A 22765-nucleotide genomic window follows, 5' to 3' on the forward strand; every position below is an offset into this window, starting at 1 on the left:
AAGGGGTGACGGACAGAAGACTGGGCTGGTGCTTCTTCCAGAGTAGGGGCAGGTGGGATTTCAATCTATCAGCATGTCAGCACAGTGTATTTTATATACATTTCATTCATTTATTTATTTTTAGTTTTATTTTTTTGAGACAGAGTCTACCTCTGTCACCTAGGCTGGAGTGCAGTGGCATGATCTCGGCTCACTGCAACCTCTGCCTCCCAGGCTCAAGAGAGTCTCGTGTCTCAACCTCCTGAGTAGCTGGAATTACAGATGCCCACCACCACACCCAGATAATTTTTTGTATTTTTGGTAGAGATGGGGATTTTCCATGTTGCCCAGACTGGTCTCAAACTCCTGGGCTCAAGCGATCCACCCACCTTGGCCTCCCAAAGTGCTGGGATTACAGGTGAGAGCCACCACACCCGGCCTATACATTTAATTTAAAATAATTAATATGTAAACAGAAGACAGGCCAAAGTCACAGACATTCTAAAACAGTGAAGCAGAATTAAACCAGTAAGCATTGGTAGAGACCCTGTCCTCCCCCGGTCCTGGATGGTGCCCCTGGGTGAACACCAGGTCTGCTTTCCACACCCGCCTTCCCTGGGTCCCTTCTTCCTCTGCCTCCTCCACCTCTCCAAATGCCTTTTTACCATCCTGCGCCACTCCAGAAATGTGATGGTTGATACTGAGTGTCAACTTGATTGGCTTGAAGGACACAAAGTATTGATCCTGGGTGTGTCTGTGAAGGTGTTGCCAAAGGAGATTCACTTTTGAGTCAGTGGGCTGGGGTAGGCAAACCCACCCTTAATTGGGTAGGCACCATCCAAGCAGCTGCCAGTGAACATGAAGCAGGCAGAAAAATGTGAAAAGGAGAGATGGGCCTAGCTCCCAGCCTACATCTTTCTCCCATGCTGGGTGCTTCCTGCCCTTGAACATCAGACTCCAAGTTCTTCAGTTTTGAGGTTTGGACTGGCTCTCCTTGCTCCTCAAGCTTGCAGATGGCCTATTGTGGGACCCTGTGATTGTGTAAGTTAATATTTAATAAACTCCCCTTGATATATATCTATCCCATTAGTTCTGTCTGTCTAGAGAACCCTGACTAATACAAGATACTTTTATCCCATAAGGCGCAACATCGGGAGCCAACAGTCAGAGGCAGGAACATGCCCTGCACTGCTGCTTTCCGGGCCGTGGAAACACATCTGTCACTAGTCCTGACCCTGCTGGTCTAGCCCTGCGCACATTTCCCAGGGCTGCCCTAAGGAATGTCCGCAAACCAAGTGGCTTAAAACAACAGAAATTTATCCTCTCATTTCTGGAGGCTGCAAGTCTGAGATCAAAGGGTTGGCAGGGCTGAACTCCCTCAGGTTCAGAAGGTGGATCCTTCCTGCCTCTTCCTGCTTTGGGTGGCTCCTGCAGTCCCTGGCATTCCTCAATCTGCAGCTCCTCACCCCAGCTTCCATCCCTGTCTCCACACCTGGCTCTCCTCCCTGGGTCTCTGTCTCCTTTTCTCAGAAGATCACTGGTCACAGGATTCGAGCCCCATGTGCTCCAGCACAGCCTCACCTTGGTCTCTTCTGCAAAGAGCCTACTTCCAAATAAGATACTGGGGGCTAAGACTCCAGCATGACTTTCGGAGGGACACAAGTCATCCCTGTGAAGCAACCCACAAGAAACGTGGAGCACAACTGCAATGCTGAGCTGTGGTGCCGGAAGCAATAAATGAGGAGTCAGGACACAGGGACAGAGAGACCAGCCCGTCCTCTGTGCCTTTGGCAAGCTGTGTGCCTGCCCAAACCCCACCTGTCATCTGTAAAATGAGGATGAAAGCACCATCTCGTGAGTTTACCATGAGAATTCAACGTAAGGCACTTAGCCTAGTTCCAGGCATGCAAGAAGGGTGCCTTAAATGACGGCACTGTGACCATCACCACTCTGAAGGCATGCAAGAAGGGTGCCTTAAATGAGGGCACTTACCATCACTGCTCTGAAGGGCGTGCAAGACAGGTGCCTCAAACGAGGGCACTGTTACCATCACCGCTCTGAAGGGCGTGCAAGAAGGGTGCCTTAAATGAGGGCACTATTACCATCACCACTCTGAAGGGCATGCAAGAAGTGTGCCTCAAATGAGGGCACTGTTACCATCGCCGCTCTGAAGGGCATGCAAGACAGGTGCCTTAAATGAGGGCACTGTTACCATCACCGCTCTGAAGGGTGTGCAAGAAGGGTGCTTTAAATGACGGCACTGTTACCATCACCGCTCTGAAGTGCTGTCGAAAATCCTTTCAAAGTCCACTCACTCTTGGCTGATGGTCTTCGTTAGCTAAAGCGTTTTCTGCAGGTCTCCTTCCACAATCCAGTCTGCTTTAGGCCGAAGAAAGCATTGGCCTCCCGGGGCTCACTGACCCCAGGATAAAAACAGGAAGATCCCTCAACACCCCAGGGTGGGTCAGCATTTCCCCCTGGACACAAGCTGCGGCCCCAGGGTGCACATTGATCAGAACCTCACCTGGGCCGTGCCGGCCCCTGCTTGTAAGGTGGCTCTCAGTCTATCCCAGAAGAGCTACCTGTGCCCATGTGATTTCTCTCCCTTCCCATACCCCATCCTGATGTTGCTTCCGACAGCTCCATGCATCCTGTTTTGTTAATGAACAGAATCGCTTCTTTAACTTCATTAATTCCAGCTCTTCATTTGTGTATGTTGTCTATGATACTTAAAAGGCTAATCTTAATGCTTTTGTTTAGAGCGTGAATTTTTAATATATTTGAAAATGAACTTGAGTGTGCTATTTAATACCACATTTTGTTTTATCACATCCTAATTACGTTTACTAGCTATTGTCCTATAAAAAGCTATTTTAATCTTTATTATCTGGATTTTTCGCCACTGCAGCATGTGTCATTTTCTGCAGTGATGTCCAAAAATTAAGTAAAAGGTATTTAAGGGAACTCTAATTGATTGTGCTTCTCAAGAGCCCTAGAAAATTTGATGAGTCATTAGGCTGACTGTGTGCGAGAGGAAATTCTCCACCGACAGCCTGAAGCTGTGTAAAATGGGATGGCTTTAGACCTGCCGAGCTCTCACAGCACTCAGCTCAAGCCTCAGCATCCCCCAGAGGTGACATGCATGGAGTTCTCAGTGGATGGCGGGGAAGGGTCAAGGTGACATGCATGGAGCTCTCAGTGGATGGTGGGGAAGGGTCATGGGATTGGGCACCTTACTTAGTTTGAGGGAGAGTCACAGAGTCCACATACTCACTGTGGTTGTCACTGCTTACCCCGCGCCCTGCTGAGGCTCAGCTGCCGTCTGCACCCATGCCATGCTGTCCTCCAGGGGGACCTGCAGGATGTAACCAAGGCATAACACCTGTATCACTGGAGTCCAGGAGAAAAGAAGTACTGAGAAGTACTCAAAAAATATTATGGCCTCAAACTTCCCCACATTGGCTAGAGACGTAAACCTACATATTCCAGAAACTGAACAAACTCTAAACAGAATAAGCCCAAAGAATTCCATACCCAGATCCTTACAATTAAGCTCATGAAAACTAAAGAAAAAGAAAACAAATCTTGAAAGCAGCCTGAGAAAAATAATACAGCCCTTAGGGAGGAAAAACGATTCAAATTATAGTGGCGTTCTCATCAGACACTACAGAGGCCAGAAGGGAGTGTCCCAATATTGTTTTAAGTGCTGAAAGAAAAGAATTGGCACACAGAAGACTTTATCCACTTGAAAATATATTTTAGTAATTAAAAAAATTGAAACATTTTCTGATAAAAAAAATTAAGAGAGTTTAGTATCAGCAGATCTATCCAGAAAGAATAAAGGAAGTTCTCTAAACAGAAATCAAATGATGAAAGAAGGAACCTGGGAACATCAGGAGGGAAGAAGGGCCATGGTGAGCGAGAGTGCAGGTGACACCACAGACATTTCTTGTCCTACTGAGTTTTCTTACTTTTTTTTTTTTTTTAAGACAGAGTCTCGCTCTGTCACCCAGGCTGGAGTGCAGTGGTGTGATCTCGGCTCACTGCAACCTCCGCCTCCCAGGTTGAAGAGATTCTCCTGCCTCATCCTCCCAAGTAGCTGAGACTGCAGGCATGTGCCACCACACCTGGCTAATTTTTTGTATTTAGTAGAGACAGGGTTTCATCATGTTAGCCAGGCTGGTCTCGATCTCCTGAGCTCGTGATCCTCCCACCTCAGCCTCCCAAGGTGCTGGGATTACAGGTGTGAGCCACCGCGCCCGGCCTGTGTTTACTAAATTATGTTTTATGGTCGAAGAAAAAATAATAACACTGTCTGATGTGATTCTAAATGTATATGAAGAAACTATTTGAAATATATATACTATAAATGGGGGAGGGAAAAGGAAGGTGAAGGGGAGTGAGGTTTCTATACTTCAACTAAACTCATGGAGGAAGGACCACTGTGTATATAGAATGTGTATACAACTGCGTATAGAGAACCAGAGCAATTTCTAAAAAGGCCATCCAAAGAGACACTCAAAAAAATACAGATAAATTGGAATGCTAAAAAAAAAAAAAAAAAAGTTTAAGTAACTTACAGTTAGGCAGGAAAAAAAAGAGAAATCAAAGACAGGAAACAAAAAATAAAATATCAGTCTTCAGCCCTAAGATATCAATAAATTACATGAAGTGAAAGTGGTGTAAATGCACCAAGTAAGAAACAGAGATTGGCAGAGGAGATTAACAAGATGACCAAGCTCTAGTCAAGAAACTTACTTCAAAGGTAACCATGTAGATGGTTTGAAAGTAAATGAGTAAAAAGAGATAACTCATGTAACCTTGATCAAAGGAAAGCAAGAGTAGCCCTATTATCAGATAAAGGAGACTTCAGAGAAAATAAAATTACTAGGTGCAGAGAGAGTGGCGTTATAGGATGATGAGAGGCTCAGTCCACCGGGAAGACCCAGCCATCCTAAGTGAGTATTCACAAAACAACGGGGCTGCAAAATATGGGAAGCAAAAACTGAGAACTGAAACAAAAACAAAAAACAGAAAAATCTACAATTACAGTGGAAGGCCTCAACACTCCTTCTCAACAATTGAAAGACAACTAGGTAAAATATCAGCAAATATATAGAAGACTTCAACAGTACCATCAACTAAAAGAATCCAGTAAACATTTATGGAATCCCCCCACCACATACTACGGGATAATAAACATTATCTTCAAGTGTCCATGCAACTTTTAGCAGGATCAGCCATATCTGGGGGCATAAACAAGCATCAACAAATTTGTAAGAACTGAAAATATACAAAGAATGTTAATTAAAATGGAAACAAATTTGAAATCAACAACAGAAAGATAATAGGAAATTCTCCAAACACTTAGATACTGCACACTTATAAATAAGCAATGTGTCAAACATGCAGTTTCAAGGCAAATAAAAAATAATGAGGATATGAAAATGAGAACCCTGTAATATATCAAAGTTTGTGAGGCACAGCTGAATCAGGGCTGCGCAGGAAATTTACGGCATTAACAGCATGCATTCATTAGAGAAGAGGAAAGGTCTAAAAACTGTAGGCTTTTGCCTCAATAAACTAGAAACAATAAACTATAAACCCCAAGGAAGAGCAGATATCAGTAAAATCAAAAACAGAAAAACAGAAGAGGAAACCAGTAAAACAAAGAGCTGTTTCTTTGAAGATATCATTAAATTTGGCAAATGTTTAGAAGAAAGACTCACAAAAAAAAGAGGAGAAAAAGAGAAGACAAAAATTGAGAATGTAATAAATGAAATGGGATATCACTACAGACTGTGTAAACTTCGACAGGATAATGAAAATACAATGAATAACTCTACACATATAAATCTCGCAACTTAAACTGAAGAGACTGTTTCCTCGTAAACCACGAACTGCCACAACTCCATCACTGTAGAGTCTTTGGGTAGCCTTACCATTACTAAGAAAACTTATTTGTAGCTTAAAAACTTTCAAAATGAAATGTTTAGTTCAGATGATTTCACTGGAGAATTTTATCAAATGTCAAAGAGAACACCAATATCTTCTCTATAATATCTTCTAGAAGAAAAAAGGAAGAGAAACACAAGTTTTTGAAGCAAGCATTAATTACCCTTATACCAAAAGCAGTCAAAAACACTCCAGAAAATAAACTACAGACCAATATTCTCCATTAATACAGACACTCAATCTTCAAGAAAGCACTAGGTGACCTACGCGTGGCAGATGCACGCCTGCTGTTATTTCTCTTATATCCGACTCCAGTTCCTTTTCCAGGCTGCTTGCTTTACTGCCCACTATTGGGAGAGCATTTTCCTTACTGGAAATGAGCAAATCAAAGGGGGCGACTTGCCTGTCATCTCCTGAAGTTACAGCATCTCACCTGAGTAGCACGGCTGTGGCATCCTGTTCTTGGTGTTCAGAACACAGAAAAGAAATCTTGTCTTGGCCGGTGCGGTGGCTCATGCCTGTAATCTCAGCACTTTGGGAGGCCAAGGCGGGTGGATCACTGCGTTCAGAAGTTTGAGACCAGCCTGGTCAACATGGTGAAACCCCATGTCTACTAAAAATACAAAAAATAGGCGGGCATGGTGGGGGACGCCTGTAATCCCAGCTACTTGGGAGTCTGAGGCAGGAGAATCGCTTGAACCCAGGAGGTGGAGGTTGCAGTGAGCCGAGATCACCCCACTGCACTCCAGCCTGGGCAATAAGAGCGAAACTCTCTCTCTCAAAAAAAAAAAAAAAGATGGTTTTATTTCTGGTATTCTTAGGTTTTTTTCTTTCTTTTTTTAACTCTTCAGGTAATTCTGTGCTTTATATTTTTGATGGTTTCTGTAAATATTGATTGCTCTGTGCTATTGCTCTTGGTTTATTTTATTCCAAAAGCTGAACTTCAAAGCCATTTACTTTAAGCTTTCATTAATAAGACCATTTTTGATATTTTCATATAAAGAGTTCTAAAACTATTTTATGTTTCGGTCACTTGTGGAAGGAGGTACTTAGAACTTTTTTTTTTTTCTTGAACTCATTAATTGATTCAGAAGCTTTGCTGTAAGCCCAGAGCTGTGGTCTACAGTTGGTCATTTTTCTATGGGTCACCATATAATGTGCTGGAGATAAAGTTCAGTATGAAAAGACTGTCCTCTGTCTTCAGACAAACCATGAAGTGTTCTGCATATACCTTTTCTCCATAATTTCATCAGTAGATCAAATGTTATTCTAGTAAGTTGTTCCTGCAGCCTCAACATCTTAGAGAATTCCAAATGACTACACCAAATGAGTTACATGGACATTCTCTCCCTGAGTTACAGGAAAATATTTAAATTACTAATTTTATCAAAATTTGCTGGGCAGTCTATGAGGATGTCTTTCAAGAAACCAGTACACAAAAATAAACATTCCCAGACTCCCTCCGATGTGGGAAGTGGGCCGTGAGGCAACCCTTCCTTCAGGATTTGGGGTGTGTGTGCCAATTAGAGTTTCTTCCAAGGCATCAAGGGAAAATTTGTAAACATAGAGGAAGCCTGGAAATAATCCCACATGTCATTCATTCACTAGGTTGAAAGAATTGTGTTTGGAAAGTTCTATGATAAGACTGTTTTGTGGGAGTTGTATGTACAGCAGTAATGAGGAAACAGATTTTTTTAAAAAATTCCCTCAAGTTCTAAAAATGCAAATGATGAGACACTCTATGTGTCTGGGAGGATACTGATTGATTAATTCTGAAAATGAGATTTTGTGTAGCCAGAGGTTCCTTAGATGAAAGCTTTCTCTTTTTCCTTCATCCTAAGCCCCTTTGGAGATTATGCAAATGCGTTGTGTGCTTATGTGGCCATCTGGAGTAACTTTGTCCTGTGCCGTAAAGATGGGCTATAATTACTGCATGTGTGTGCATTGCCATTCAGCAGTAGCCACTGATGTTTACAATTTCTACAGATCCTATGATGCTAGCTACTTAGTCTACATAAAATGTAGCAATTTCCCTTGGAATACTTTCATTTCCTATTTTATAATCACTAGATTTAAATTCTAGAGATTGAGTAGCTTTCAAACCTGAGCTGTGAGAATGTCACCTCCTGTGGCCTTTCACATAGAACCTCAGTCCTTATCACACTCTGGGTCAGGTTTATGGAAGGTGGGCAAGGGGAGCTGGCTGGTACTGTGCTTTTCAGCCACCACTCATTGTGATCTGCTCTCGGACTCTCATCGCCAATGCCAACAGTGTGTAGAGTATTTGTGACCGCCGGCTGTGTGTGTGGCGTTGGCTGGATCCCCGTTTATCCTGGAAGGGTCAGGAGCTGTGTGAAGCCCAAGGCAGATGGGTCCTTCCAGCCTTTTGGGCCCCCCACCATCTGCTCTCCTCTAAGAGGGGAGAGGCAGGGACTTGAGCTACTGTGTTTGTGACAATCTCTAAGGAAAGGTTGACAGGCATGAAGATGTTGAAGGCACGCATTCAGCTATCCAGGAAAAGGACAATAGCAGAATGAGAGACAAGTGAGGAAGAGCCTCCCGAGCTATGCAGCCACAGGGCCGAGCACAGCAGGAGCGGGGGGACAGTGGAGGTCTTGTCAGGCAGTGTGGGCAGCCCATGGAGCGGAGCCGTGGCAGGACTGAGGACTGAGGACTGGGGACTGAGACCTGAGACTTGAGACCTGACTGGCTCCAGCCTCCCTCGGCCAGGGTGTGAGTGTGTGTGTGTGTGTGTGTGTGTGCCATGCACTGTCAGCCGTGCGCTGTGTGAGCCACACTGTGTGTGTCAGCCATGTGCTGTGTGTCACCTGTGTACTCTGTGTGTGTGAGCCACATGCTGTGTCAGAGCAGTGCGCTGTGAGCCGCGCTGTGTGCGTGCACGTGTGTATGCCATGCACTGTGTGTGTCAGAGAGCTGTGCGCTGTGTGCCCCGCACTGTGTGTGTGCGTGTGTAAGCCGCATGCTGTGTGAGAGCTGTAGGCTGTGTGGGTGTGAGCCGGGCATTGTGGGTGTGTGTGGAGTGAGAGTCATGCACTGTGTGTGTCTGGTGTGTGTCATGTGCTGTGTGTGTGTGGTGTGTGAGCCATGGACTGTGTGTGTGGGGGAATGTGTGAGTGTGTGAACCATGCACTGTGTGTGTGTGGTGTGTGAGCCATGTGCTCTGTGTGTGTGGTGGGAGCCATGTGCTGTGTGTGTGTGTGTGTGTGTGGTGTGTGAGCCATGCATTGTGTGTCTGTATGTCTGTGTCTGTATGTCTGTGTCTGTGGTGGGTGAGCCGTGCATTGTGTATAAGTGTGTGTGTGGTATGTGAACCGTGCACTGTGTGTGTGTGCCAGCCCTGCATTGTGTGTGTGTGTGTGTGTGTGTGGTGTATGAGCCATGCACTCTGTATGTGTGTGTGTATATATGGTGTTAGCGGTGCACTGTGTCTGTGTGTGAGTGTGTGTGGTGTGTGTGAGCCGTGTACTGTGTGTGTGTGTGTGTGTGTGTATGCGAGAGAGAGAAGAGAGAGAAGGAGGGAAAGAGAGAGAGTGTAGGCATCAAGCACCCATTTCCCACAAGAGTAACGTGTTTGGATGTCACAGGGTGGCTCAGAGACAGGCCCAGAACCCACAGCTGTATTTCTCCAGCTCAAAGCAATGGCTCCGCTTCTCTTCTAAATGGGAACATTTTACCCGCAGATTTATTACAGAGATTGTTAAAAATAACTTTTACCAAGTTATTAGGGTCCCTGCTTCTTTCGTCTGGAGTCGCATGAAAACATTTAAAGCACAAATCTCGCTTTCAACCAACATGGCTGCGAGTGCATTGGCAGGTGTTCACGGGCTCCGCAGCCTGAAGCCCAGAGACCTTCCGGGCAGAGCCCAGGAGCAGAGAACCCAACCCGGGCTTCCCCTCAGAAGCGGCACGTGCTGGTCCGGGCCGCCCTCCGCACAAACCACCGGCCGCGGGTGGGATGCGCTTCAGACTGCAGACCTTCTCGCACCGTGTGACCGATGTAGTTTTTGTTTGTTTTTGGTGGTATCCCTGCAGTACTGCGCTGCTGCTTGGTGGCGGTGTAAATTGTACTGCTCTTCAGAATTTTCTCAGGAAAGTGCCGCTTCCAGCTTCTGCCGGAACATGCTTGTGGGCCTCATGCAAAGAAAAGTGAACATATTCCCCAATAGGTACAATGAGCTAGCAGAAAGAAAATTCAGTGGTTTACTGTGTTTTCAAACACGCGTAGGAGAATAGAGATTGGCTGGGCTCTGTGCATTTGTTCTGAGTTAGAGCAATGCCTGTAAACACTCCCCACCTCACCGAGCTGGAAATATTTGCCTCTTGACAAAAAGCAAGAAAGAACCTGTATGCAGTTGTTCCTGTGGGTCTCCCGGGACCCTGCATCCTCCTGTTTTGTTCCCCGTAACTTGCATATGAGAGCATTTTATAATTTTTGACCAAAGGGGGGTTAATATGGAGACTACCTAATTAAAGTTAAACAGCATTATTAAAGAATGTTTTCTCAAAATTGATACTTTTTTCTAGTCCAGAACATACATGTGCAGCTGGCAAGGAGAGATGCTGTGTTTCACGGTGGATTTCGCGTTGGGATTTACCTGTTTTGAGAGTAAGACCAAGGTAAGAGGCCAAGCAGGCATCCATGCCGCCCCATTGCCATGTGCTTGGTTACATTCCATGGGCGTTAACACTCACGCATGTCTGGTAGAAGCCACCAACCTTGCTGGATTGTGTATCGTGCAGAGGCCTTGCTTTCATAGACTTTTTTTTCTGATAGCTCAGGGCCCCAGGATCGCCACAAGCCCTGAGGGTGTCTGGCCAATAGGATTCACAGCAGGGTCAGGTGGGTGGATAGGGAAGTTGAAGATGCTGCTGCTAAGGAGGGACCCACAACACTTGAGTAAACGCTTTGAAAAAAAACACTCATCGTTGCCTGCCTTCCATCTGAACATTCGTGGTAGCGGTGAACAGTGCCTGTGCCTGGGGGAATTTGTGGAGGGCGGATGCCAGGAATGTACAGCTGCCATTAGGAAGGGAGTGAGACCCATTTCCACCCCATCTGAGTATTCTCCTAACTACGTAAGTGTTAAGGAAATGCTTTGTGAGGACAATCCACTGTTTTGTCATAATATTTTTTAAAACCTACTCTCTGTGTTAATTAAGAATGAGTGAAATGGAAAGTGTTGGTAAGATAAATACGGTTGTTAAAAAAAATTTCAACAAATCGAGTTGAAAGACTTACTTGTCTTTTATTAGCAATCCCAAATCGGGCTGCACCCCCTTTACAAAATAGAGCCCCGTTTGTTATCTCATGGTCATTTCCTAACTTCTGTGTTCGAGAACCTTTGGATGCCCTCTGCAGTGAATTGGTCATTGAATCTGTAGGTTAATGAGCACTGGGAACTGCGCCTTCTTTCTGAGAAGCCTCTCACTGTGTGGCCTCTCTACAAAAAGCAAGACAAAAACCTTTCCTAGGCAGGGTCTCCCAAACTGGTGGTTTTGCCCCCGAGGGACACTTGGGCATGTCTGGAGACACTTTCTATTGTCAGGACTTGGTGGGAGTTTCTGCTGATATCCAGGGCACCTGCAGGGTGGAGCCCAGGGATGCCGCTCTGGGCACAGGGCCCCACACAGGGCATCTCCAGGGCCTACTGGGCAATAGTGTGGAGGCTGAAAAACCTGGGCTAGGGCCATGGACTACTTCCTTTACGGAATTCCAGGGCCAGAAAATTTAATGGAGTCATTGTTCCCCTCCAGGGCACATACCATGTTTGCAATGACAATAGCACATATTTGCATAAGCATTGAATAAGAAGAAGGGATTTCACATCTGCCATCCAGTATCCAGGTCCATAATTCTATGGACCCTAAAGTCACAGAGTGGGAAGTAGCTTCAGGGTTCCACTTAGGTGTTCTTCCCGCTGTCCCTGGTCTGCCATATGGACCTGCTGGTTCCAGTCTAGGTGACTTGCTCTTAATATTATTTGGAAGCCAGTTCTTCATAACCTTACTGTGCATGTCCTTCTGAGATAAGGGAGGTAATGAAGCAACTATTCAAGTGTAAGGACAAACTCTCCATACAGCTTCTTAAAGAGAACACCTGATTTGTAACTTCTGCTTCTTGCTCTGTGTTTCAAGTAATGAAGTGTTCCAGGCAATCTGAAAGGAGAATCCAAATTCTGCTTTAGAGCAGGTTTGCGTAGCCCCCTCACTGCAGCCCCTGGGGTCCTGTGTGTCCCTCCACTGGAAGGAGCCTGTGAGCTCCTCCTTTCCAGGAGCGAAACGCTGGCCCACCGGCCCCATTGCCTGGGCCAGCACTCACCAGGGGCATTTATCTGTACCTGTGTTGCTGTGGGTAATGTACTCACAGGCCCTTCCCAGCCAGCGCCTCTCACCCATGCTCGGGGCTCAGCATAGTGTCCAGAGGTCACGTGTCTCTCTGTTGTGATTCTGCTAGAGGGTCTCAGCACAGGAAGATCAACTGAGTCTGCAAAAATGAAAAGAACATCCATCACCACATTCAGCCAAGCCCTGAGCCCCGTACCTGCAGGGGCTGATTTTCACCTGGAGTGGCCATGGGGTTCCTTGGGTGGGAGTGATGTTTGTGAGTTTCCAGGCCATTGCTCAACATGAAGACACATTTCCTACCTTCATTTCCCCGGTGAGTTTCCTTTCTTCCTGGGCTGCCCTGTGCCTTTCCTCCTCAAGGGCATCACCATCCTTCTCCGGAGCCTTTTCCCATTTCCCTGGCGTGGTCAATGCCAGGCACAGTCAGGCAGAGCCGGGCTTGGGGCCTCATGGGGCACTTCCTATCATTTCAGACAGAACTGTCTCCAGAGTCAGCCCTAAAATCAATCCAGTCAACTTTTAAAATAGCTATAATTTGTTTCTTAATGCTGTGCAAGATGGGGTTGTGAGCCCTTAGGGTAAAGCAGCAGTGTTTTAAATCCTTGGTAACCAGACCGTCCAACTCAGCTGAGCTCCTATAATTAAAGCGCATTTGTCTACAGCCTGGAGTGCCTCCTTTTGCTTGACAGCGTGCGTATCCCTCACCCAAAATGACCTGGGCAGTGCTAGAGTAAGCATGCCGGCGGTCCGGGGGCATCTGGGCCAGCTCCAGCCCTCTACCCGCTCTCTCTGCTTCCAGGGAGGAACTTTTCACCTCCTCAGCTGAGGTTCTTCTCTGCTCGCTGTCCTCTCCACTCTAGGTCAACTTTGTGTAAAGATTCAATGAAGACGTCTTTTTGCTGGTCTGAACCTGAGGCTCAGAGGCCCTGACCTGCTGACCTATTTTCCTTTGAAGGAGAGCACTTGACCTCACATTTTTCTCGTGATTATTTCTTTATTTCAAGGAGTTCTGGCCTAACTCCTTGTTGAGTCCATTCAGACAACAACTGAACCTGAAAATAGCACATGACAACATAAACAATTGTTCCTTGTAGTTTATTTTAGAATTTGCAATATTTGAATTAATTTTTTTGAAGAAAAGCTTTCCCACCTTAACTGTGAAGGATAAACCAATGGGTTGTAAATTCATAAAATGTTTATAATTTTCCTTTATTTGGCATCTTGTCACTCATGTCAATGTAGGATGACATTTGTGAGTTTGGCGTCAGTAGGCTTTCGATTATTTGTATATTGATAGGAACATCAATATGATGAATGATATGATGAAAGAATTATGAAGATAAATATTATTGAATATGAAATGCTTCTAAATAATTATTTAAAATGTTACTTTCTCCGGTACCCACATGCCCTCTTATTAGTCATTATAAAAAAATCAAATAGATTCTGTGCCTACAAATACTTAGATTGGGAGTTACCATGCTTATATTCACAAGATAATTAGCACTTTTACACCACACTATCCTGTTAACTGAGGACATTTGTGTATTATTTCTGGGTCAAAACTAGACCATGACATGGCAACAATGCCTATTCACCAAACTCTTGCAAGGAAAGAGGTTCTGGACTTGGGAGGCCAACCCAACTCATTTGCAGGGACATCCTCCTTCGAAGCCTGTGTGTGGTCAGATTTCTTGATTGCCCACTTCTGCTTGCCAGATAAAGACAAGCAATTATTTCCCAGGCTGAATCCATTCACCATCAACTATCTATTTTCAATGTTGAGAAAGGAGGTAAGCAGGAAAAAAAATGTGTTTGACCATGAAAATATTTTCTGCACTTACAAAATAAATGAGAAGACCATTATCTAATCTATATGGCCTAAATCTCTCGATGCAAAGTTTTTTTTTTAATTAAAGAGGATAAACTAGAACACCCCCTAGCTGCTAGAGATGGAGGGCGTCCCTGCCCCACGCAGGCGGGTCTCCTGCCCCGTCCAAGCGCAGTCCAGGCCGGCGGGGCCTCTGGACGATGTCCACATCCTCTTCTCACTCTCTGGATTAGCACTGACTTCCCTCCTGTTCCATGTAATTAATCAGAAGTGGGAGAGGACATCGACAAGAATAGAACCCACAATGGTGAGGGAGAAGGGGAGGCTGACCCTGGGTGGGCACCAGGCAGCCTGGGTCCAGGAGGGGTGCCGCCTGAGTCCTCAGCCTCCACGGATCCCAGGATGGAGCCTGGCCATACGTGTAGGACCAAGAGCTGCTGGAGAGGCAGAACCACCGCAGGATTCACTCGTTCTTGGGGACACGTTGAAAAGCTAGCCTTGTCTCTAAATGGTAACTTCTATTCTAAATCTACCACCAGGCCACTTCCCACACCGCAGCAAATTATGATTCTGTATTTAGAGCGATTGGTGCAGACTCTCACAAGAGTGTCCTGGTGCTGTCCTGGCCCCCATGGGACCTGCTCCTTAGCTAGGAACAGGATTCCTGTGGGGCTGAGTTAAGGTTGATGGAGAGGAACAAAAAGATCAGTTTTTAAAAGCTGAAAAGGAATTGTTTGTTGTGGAAGACGAAGTGCAGACTTGCCTTTGGCCTGATGAGGAAGAGAAGCAAATGTCTCCACAGCTCCCAGGAAAACATCAAGAAACGAATTAGGTTTGAACTGAGAGCACCTCCAAGTCCTTGTCATGGAGTTGCCTGGTACTGCCTGTGGCATCTCCACCGTGAAGGATTCAAGGATTATCTTCCATGATCGGTGTGTTAACAATCAGACTGTGTTGCAGAGGAAGTATTACCTTCCATTGTCAGTATATTAATAATCAGAATGTGTTCCAAAGGAAGTGAGATGTGATTATCATCTTTAACAACCTGAAACCATCACAGTAATAGGTAAACATTAGCATGTTTCATGTAACATGCACTGAACTGCAAAGCTGCTCTTTAATTACTAAAACTATGGAAAAATGTTTTCTGTCTTCCAAGAGGGAGAACTAAAAATCCGGCTTCCCTTCAGCTTTTATCTGTGCCACGGGAGGATGGGTCCACCCAAGTTTATCCCCCAGGATGTGGAGCAAAAAAAATGGCTCTGATGTGACTGACTGCCCAACAGCGTCTCTGGAGCTGTGAGTGGAGCACATGCCACATTCCGACCTAGAATGTCCAATTGCGCTTTGGAGAAGGGCTCAGAATTGTGAAATTAAACTGTTACCCAGTCCACTTTTACATAAAGTGTGCAGAAATGCCATCCATAATGGAAAAACAAGTTCCTTTTCTACAGAAACATTGCTGTTTTCAGGTGCAGAAGAGAAAATCTGTGAAACAGTTAAAAGAGGCCACCACAGGCGATTTGGAAGGGACGATTATGAGAGGAGCCACCACGTCCGGCCACACAGCTCTGAGAAGGGCAGAAAGAGAGTCACGCCTGCGCCCATGGAGCCCCAACTTGTACCTGGACCACGCTGCAGCCTGTCCCAACCCAGAGAAGCTGACGAGATCCTTGTCCTCCATCACCCAGACAAGAGCTAGATGGTAAAATTAGGACATAATTTTAAGCATATATACTGGATATGTATGCCTCATGAGGAAGGGTTATTCTCAAATCTGCAAATATTGAGTACAGTTGCAGTGCAATATCAATGGACCATAAAGACAATAATCATATACCTAAATCACTTCACTGTGAGGACCATTTTGAATTCTTTAAACAATAAACAGGACTTTTACATAGATATTTTTGCACTTTTTGTATATAATGTTTTAATAGCAGTTTACAATACCATGCAAAATATTAATTTAGGTTATTCCCAGGACCCTATCCTAATAGGGGTAGACCACTACTGCGCTCTTTCTTCAAAATCAAATTTGAACCAAAGACTCTTACTGCTGCTCACAGAGTCGTTTGTTGCTTATTTTGTGAGAAATTAGGCAAAACCTCAATAGCCAAGACTGCCTGGCTTCTCCTGATGGATGAGCACATACCTATGATCACAGGTCCCTCCTACAAATGATGGATAATAGGTCCTTTTAAAGGCAGATGAGACTTACCTGAATCTAAGGGGCTGAAGTCACAGCCTTCACTTAACAGCTTTCAGAGAAGGTGCTTTGGCGCTGCCTAGGCAAGGTGGAATTGGTGTGGAGTGTGGGAAGAGGCTCTCCGGAGGCAGGTGCAGTGGGTGGAGCAGGGCAGGAGTGGCTCGGGCAGCTCCCTCACTGGGACAGGCCCTCCAGGCCAGCTGTGGCTGCCATCTGCTTCTGGGGCTTGCCTCAGTGCCCCAGTACTCACATCACGCTCTCTTCTGCTCGCGACAAGAATGGATACACATGCTTCACTTCTGGAATTGACAACCACGGGATATTAGTCCATTCTCATACTGCTATGAAGAAATACCCAAGGCTGGGTAATTTATAAAGAAAAAGAGGTTGAATGGACTCAGTTCCACATGGCTGGGGAGGCCTCACAATCATGGCAGAAGGCAAAGGAAGAGCAAAGGCATGTCTTACGTGGTGGCAGGCAAGAGAGAGTGTGCAGGGGAACTGCCCCTTATAAAACCATCAGATCATGTGAGACTTAGTCACTGTCACGAGAACAGCATGGGAAAGACCTGCCCTCATGATTCAGTTACCTCCCACCAGGTCCCTCCCATAACAATTCAAGATGAGATTTGGGTGGGGACACAGCTAAACCATATCACATGGGAAGCAGTGACTGAAGCATGATTTTGGAATATTCTCTTTCTAGATAGTGTCTGGCAATTCTAATGCTAAAAGGATCCTGATGCCCAAAGTCTGTCCAGGTGGGTGTGGGCTCAGTTTCCTCACTGTGAACGTGGAAGAGACAGAGAAACTATTCCCTAAGATCCTATGAAGTTCTAAATTTCCCAAAACCTAGAGGAAACATGTGCTTTGACACTTTGGCGTAAAATGCGGAGATTCTATTTAGCTCCTGGATTTAATATAAAGAAAAAGATGTGGCCAAGAATCTTGAGGCTAGCGTGTGGGCGGGAAATAAACCCGTCAATGGTCAGATGGGATAGAAATGTTCTTGAAACTTCTTCCCTGTTTTCTGCAGCCCCTTTGTCTCTCCTGACACTTAGAGAAAAATATGTTCATTGTTTAAAAATAAAAGCTTTTAATGGAAATTTGACGTATGGCTTGCCAAAAAAAAAATTACTGTTCCCTGGTGGAATTTTCCTGGGAAGATAAATATTTATTATAATGAAGTATCTATAATTAAAGACTATCTTTTATAGAAGACATCCATTACGTCTTTCTTTGCTGCAGCCTTTTTTATTTATGGGAGTAAGAGTTTGTAGAGTACATTTCATCTTTAACGTACCATAGCAAACATTAAGTGATTTTTGCAGTAGTATTAAAAGGCGATATTTTTAATTTTTAATTTTACATTTTTCAAATTGGTTCATGAAAAACTAAGGTTTAGTGTTTCACATATAGCCATAGATGGGGTGGTGTCAGTCAGGATTAAAGTTTTTCATTTTATCTGCACTTTTGACTATGTCTTATATAATATAGGAAGAACTGGAACTTTTAGTGATTTTTTCTGAAGTTCTCCAAGCAGAAAAAGGAACAATGCTCATAGGATGTTTTAAGGCTGTGTACAGGAAAACACAAGGGAAGACCAGAGGGGTCGACTGCAGGTGACGTGGGACTGAGGACCGTGGATGCTGATGCATCCCCAAGACATGTGGGGCAGCTACTGGAGGCTGGACTGTGGGGCGGGAGAGTTGAGTGGGCTGGAGGAGGTCAGTTTGCAAAGATTGAAGAATGAGAAAGTAGAGACAGACAAATCATCACATGCTAAACGTCGATTTAAACATTAAGTGAATGTCTGTTGATTTAACGAGGCTGTTTAATGTAGTAACAGATGCTAATTAAATAAATGAGCTCTTGTTTAGAAATCGCTAATTAATTTTATTCCTTTACAGAATGTGCTCTGGAGATTTAAATTTTCCCAGCTTAAGGGATCTTCAGATGATGGGAAAACTCGAGTAAAGCTGCTGTTTCAGAATCTGGACACCAAACAGATTGAGACGAAGGTATGCGGCATGGGGCATGGGTTATTCTGCCACCACCCACACATAAAGTACAGCTCAGAGGGTCCGCTGGTAAAAATCTCCACCCCTCCCATGCACACAAAAATAAACCAATAGGTCCTGAAGCACGAGTCCTTCCTGAAAATTAGGCAATAAATACGCCGAAAGAGCCTGTCGAGGTCAAATATCCCTTATCTGAAATGCTTGAGACCAGAAGTGTTTGGGATTTCAGATTTTGGAATATTTGTGGATTAGGTACTGATTAAGCATCTGAAATCCGAAAATCCAAAAAGCAAAATGTTCCAATGAACATTTCCTTTGAGCATCAGGCCAGCATTCGAGAAGGTTGGGATTCTGGAGCACTTAGCATCAGGGCAGCATTGGAGAAGGTTGGGATTCTGGAACATTTAGCATCAGGTCAGCATTGGAGAAGGTTGGGATTCTGGAGCATTTAGCATGAGGCCAGCATTGGAGAAGGCTGGGATTCTGGAGCGTTTAGCATGAGGCCAGCATTGGAGAAGGTTGGGATTCTGGAGCATTGAGCATCAGGCCAGCATTGGAGAAGGTTGGGATTCTGGAGCATTGAGCATCAGGCCAGCATTGGAGAAGGTTGGGATTCTGGAGCATGTAGCATATGGCCAGCATTGGAGAAGGTTGGGATTCTGGAGCATTTAGCATCAGGGCAGCATTGGAGAAGGTTGGGATTCTGGAGCATTTAGCATCAGGCCAGCATTGGAGAAGGTTGGGATTCTGGAGCATTGAGCATCAGGCCAGCATTGGAGAAGGCTGGGATTCTGGAACATTTAGCATGAGGCCAGCATTGGAGAAGGTTGGGATTCTGGAACATTTAGCGTCCGGCCAGCATTGGAGAAGGTTGGGATTCTGGAGCATTTAGCATCAGGGCAGCATTGGAGAAGGTTGGGATTCTGGAGCATTTAGCATCAGGCCAGCATTGGAGAAGGTTGGGATTCTGGAACATTTAGCATGAGGCCAGCATTGGAGAAGGTTGGGATTCTGGAGCATGTAGCATGAGGCCAGCATTGGAGAAGGTTGGGATTCTGGAGCATGTAGCATGAGGCCAGCATTGGAGAAGGTTGGGATTCTGGAGCATTTAGCATCAGGTCAGCATTGGAGAAGGTTGGGATTCTGGAGCATTTAGCATCAGGCCAGCATTGGAGAAGGTTGGGATTCTGGAGCATGTAGCATGAGGCCAGCATTGGAGAAGGTTGGGATTCTGGAGCATTTAGCATCAGGTCAGCATTGGAGAAGGTTGGGATTCTGGAGCATTTAGCATCAGGTCAGCATTGGAGAAGGTTGGGATTCTGGAACATTTAGTATCAGGCCAGCATTGGAGAAGGTTGGGATTCTGGAGCATTGAGCATCAGGCCAGCATTGGAGAAGGTTGGGATTCTGGAGCATTTCAGGGTTTGGATTTTCATTTTTGGGATGCTCAATCTGTATAGGATGTTTCCTGTTAGAGAGACGTTTATATCCTAAAATGGTGACCATTGAAACAAAGTATTTGATTTTACTAAAATGTACAAGCTTCTTAGTAAATATTAGCAGGAAATCATTATTTTAAAATATACCAGAAGTCAAAATTTAAAGGAAGGGTTTTACAAACTGTATTTTGTTTGCACACTGTATGTGATAAATTGACTATAATATGGAGAACAAACTTCTTTGTTAATTAAAGACCTTAGACCTTTTAAATTCATTGCCTGGAGGTGACATTGTACTATTGACAGGTGTTGACTTTTACCATATTTTATGTATAAATGTGTTGCCCACAAGCCAGTTTAATATAAACTTAATAAGACTAAAGATTAAATTTACTAAACTGAAAAATAAATTTTAAAAAATAGACTCATGAACACATACGGTGTGGAAACAGATTGTCAATACTTTGCACACATTTTTTTCTCTGATGGAATTAATCTGAGCAACATGTCACACATGGCATTTTTATACGTGAAAGTTTAGGTCAACTTTGATCCTCTCTTCATTGATCTCAATGAAATGACACTTTATAGTTGCTTTTAAGTACAACGGAAATTGTATGGGATTGTTTGACATTTTTATGTTTTGGAAATTGACAAAAGCAAAACCTGAATGCAGATGGTACAGACACTGTGGCTCCTGGGCTGGGGGAGAGCGATGAGGCAGCGGCACTCGTGCTGACCGCAGTGCCTGAGCAGGCAAGGCGCTGACCTCTCAGCAGGCTGCCCTGAGCCGCATCCTGGGGTCGTCAGCCACCAGCAAGGTGGGAACGCGGAGAGAGAGGCTTGACATCAGTTTCCATCTGGTATTTCACTGGCTTGGATGTGAATGGATCAGGGATGAAAATAGAATGTTCTTCCTCTGGTTTGTTTATTTATGCAGCTGTTTGCCTTGGGCGCCATCACCGGGGAGGAGCACCGTAACCTTTTGCTGCCTTAATCTTGTGGAGCTCTGAGTCTCATACTGTGAGGGTGCCGGAGGTCTACGGTGGCCATGAGGGTTTCACGCCTGCGGTGTCCCCGTGGCTTTCTGAGCCTCTGTCATCCCCGGGGCTCAGGCTTCAGGACCTCCAGCAGCTCCCATGGCATCTGAAACACCCTTTTGACAGTGTCTGTTGAGGTTAAATGTATTTGTGTTTTATTTGTTAATGATCAGTCAGCTCTTGATTATCTGTTAATGAAAGGAGCATCAGTATCAGGTCACCTAAGACAGAAAGGCCTGAAATATGTTAGATTCACGTGGGACACAGGCTTTGAGACCAGTATCAGGTCACCTAAGACAGAGAGGCTTGAAATATGTTAGATTCAGGTGGGACACAGGCTTTGAGACCGGCATCGCTGCCTTGTGATGCTTTGTTTGGATTGCATCTATTTCCATCGTGGGTTGGTGGAAAAGAGAACGCCCCAGGGAGTTACAGAGGCCACAGGGATGGATACCAGATTCGTAGGACTTGTAGTTTAAACAATTTGTGGAAATTTTTTATGAAAAAAAAATGTAAAACTGCAAATACAGCAACCTAGCTACACTTAGAAATGAGTGTAGGGCACATAAATATGTCCCAACAAACCCAAACTAAAAAAACCTCCACCTCCATTTCCCGTGCTGGATCTCAGAGCCGCCCAAGGCCCCTCCGTGGCACCCCTGGGATGAGAGGGAGGAACTTGGGTAGACAGAGGTAGGGACCTCACAAGAGCAGTGACCCGAGGGCCCTGGGCACGTCGCTTGGGCCCCTCAGCTCCCTGGGCTCTGTGCAGGCAAGGGCCTCACAGCTTACACAGGAAGAAGAGGGGACACAGATGAGGATGACAGCATTTCCCACCTTATCCCACAGAGTAGGAAACACATATGTGGATAACTGCAAACACTTAGTGCATGGGTGATGGGTGACCGTGGGCATTTTCAGAAGTCACCTTCACACACTGAGGTTGTGCATTTATCAACGTATGAGATATACAGAAAGTTAGAACATGGCAGCTGGGAAATGAAAACTCTAGAAGCTAATGCAAGACTTAAGGAGTCCACGGGAATGAATTCTGAGTTGAAACTCATAGCTATTGCAAATCTTGGATGTTAGCAATATGTTGTCTTAAGAAATAGGAACATTTTATTATCTCAATACATCAATTAACCAGGAGTGCCAGAGAAAACAATATTCCTAGTAAGTTGATTTTCTAGTGAAATGAGTGGTAACCATGAAACAAGTTTCCTTTTAGTAGTTGTTGAAAATATTTCTGGAATATTCTACCAGGACGCTACCTTAGTAATTAGTGCATGATGGGAACACTTGAGTTTCTCCTGAAATCTAGGGAGGAGTTCTGGGGCTTGGGGAGCAGAGTGAAATATTCCTACCATCCATTATTTGCAAAAATCACGTAGAATTGGCCGGGCATGGTGGCTCATGCCTGTAATCTCAGCACTTTGGGAGGCTGAGGCGGGTGAATCATGAGGTCATGAGATCGAGACCATCCTGGCTGACACAGTGAAACCATCTTTACTAAAAATACAAAAAATTAGCCGGGCCTGGTTGCGGGCACCTGTAGTCCCAGCTACTCAGGAGGCTGAGGCAGGAGAATGGTGTGAACCCGGGAGGCAGAGCTTACAGTGAGCCGAGATCATCGCGCCACTGTACTCCAGCCTGAGTGACAGAGCGAGACTCCTTCTCAAAAAAAAAAAAAAAAAAGAAAGAAAAAAAGAAAAGAAAGAAAAAAATCACGTAGAATTCAAGACTGTAGGATGATTTCACACAGATTCCAATGGCTGGAAATTTTAGGTTGCAGTAGTTTTTAAATAAAATATTTTTCTTCCTCTTTGACTGTTTTTTCCTTTAAAAAAAAAGAGTGGAGAGGAAGCAAATGTTATTGAATGAAGAATTTACTTCCATCCTGTGCTGTTTGTTATTCATGCAAA

At 44.8% G+C, this 22765-nt stretch overlaps 1 protein-coding gene and 1 long non-coding RNA gene across 10 annotated transcripts in view, besides 4 other annotated features; one reads left to right on the forward strand and one right to left on the reverse strand.

Annotated features, from left to right (window-relative positions):
• The window catches only part of SNTG2 (syntrophin gamma 2), a 416765-nt gene that overhangs the window by 347166 nt on the left and 46834 nt on the right, over window positions 1–22765 (forward strand). For 5 of the 6 annotated variants that reach the window (NM_018968.4, XM_017004361.2, XM_017004363.2 and 2 more), the window contains 2 exons: window positions 10480–10572; window positions 18251–18361. In NM_018968.4, the coding sequence (NP_061841.2) occupies window positions 10480–10572; window positions 18251–18361 (204 nt within the window). Of the gene's footprint in view, window positions 1–10479; window positions 10573–15603; window positions 15837–18250; window positions 18362–22765 lie in introns of those variants that run through there. The other variant, XM_017004362.1, reaches the window with a different exon arrangement.
• Window positions 7877–8600: an enhancer, noted in NCBI's record as "H3K27ac-H3K4me1 hESC enhancer chr2:1309663-1310386 (GRCh37/hg19 assembly coordinates)". NCBI's record gives its function as "activates a minimal SCP1, AML or CMV promoter by ChIP-STARR-seq in primed H9 embryonic stem cells {active_cell/tissue: H9 hESC(primed)}" and the evidence as "EXISTENCE:reporter gene assay evidence [ECO:0000049][PMID:30033119]".
• Window positions 8601–9323: an enhancer, noted in NCBI's record as "H3K27ac-H3K4me1 hESC enhancer chr2:1310387-1311109 (GRCh37/hg19 assembly coordinates)". NCBI's record gives its function as "activates a minimal SCP1, AML or CMV promoter by ChIP-STARR-seq in primed H9 embryonic stem cells {active_cell/tissue: H9 hESC(primed)}" and the evidence as "EXISTENCE:reporter gene assay evidence [ECO:0000049][PMID:30033119]".
• Window positions 10272–10892: an enhancer, noted in NCBI's record as "H3K27ac hESC enhancer chr2:1312058-1312678 (GRCh37/hg19 assembly coordinates)". NCBI's record gives its function as "activates a minimal SCP1, AML or CMV promoter by ChIP-STARR-seq in primed H9 embryonic stem cells {active_cell/tissue: H9 hESC(primed)}" and the evidence as "EXISTENCE:reporter gene assay evidence [ECO:0000049][PMID:30033119]".
• Window positions 10893–11512: an enhancer, noted in NCBI's record as "H3K27ac-H3K4me1 hESC enhancer chr2:1312679-1313298 (GRCh37/hg19 assembly coordinates)". NCBI's record gives its function as "activates a minimal SCP1, AML or CMV promoter by ChIP-STARR-seq in primed H9 embryonic stem cells {active_cell/tissue: H9 hESC(primed)}" and the evidence as "EXISTENCE:reporter gene assay evidence [ECO:0000049][PMID:30033119]".
• LOC105373359 (uncharacterized) lies at window positions 12020–16446 on the reverse strand. Of its 4 annotated transcripts, XR_922714.3 has the most exons (4): window positions 16353–16446; window positions 15757–15829; window positions 12348–12439; window positions 12020–12111 (listed from the first exon to the last, which is right to left on the reverse strand). It is a non-coding gene; the product is annotated as an uncharacterized LOC105373359 (long non-coding RNA). The 4 variants fall into 4 exon arrangements; XR_922713.3 differs by lacking the exon at window positions 15757–15829; XR_007086183.1 differs by lacking the exons at window positions 15757–15829; window positions 16353–16446 and adding an exon at window positions 12601–12690.

This window comes from Homo sapiens, chromosome 2 (genome assembly GCF_000001405.40).
Source record: "Homo sapiens chromosome 2, GRCh38.p14 Primary Assembly".
Taxonomy (NCBI): domain Eukaryota; kingdom Metazoa; phylum Chordata; class Mammalia; order Primates; family Hominidae; genus Homo; species Homo sapiens.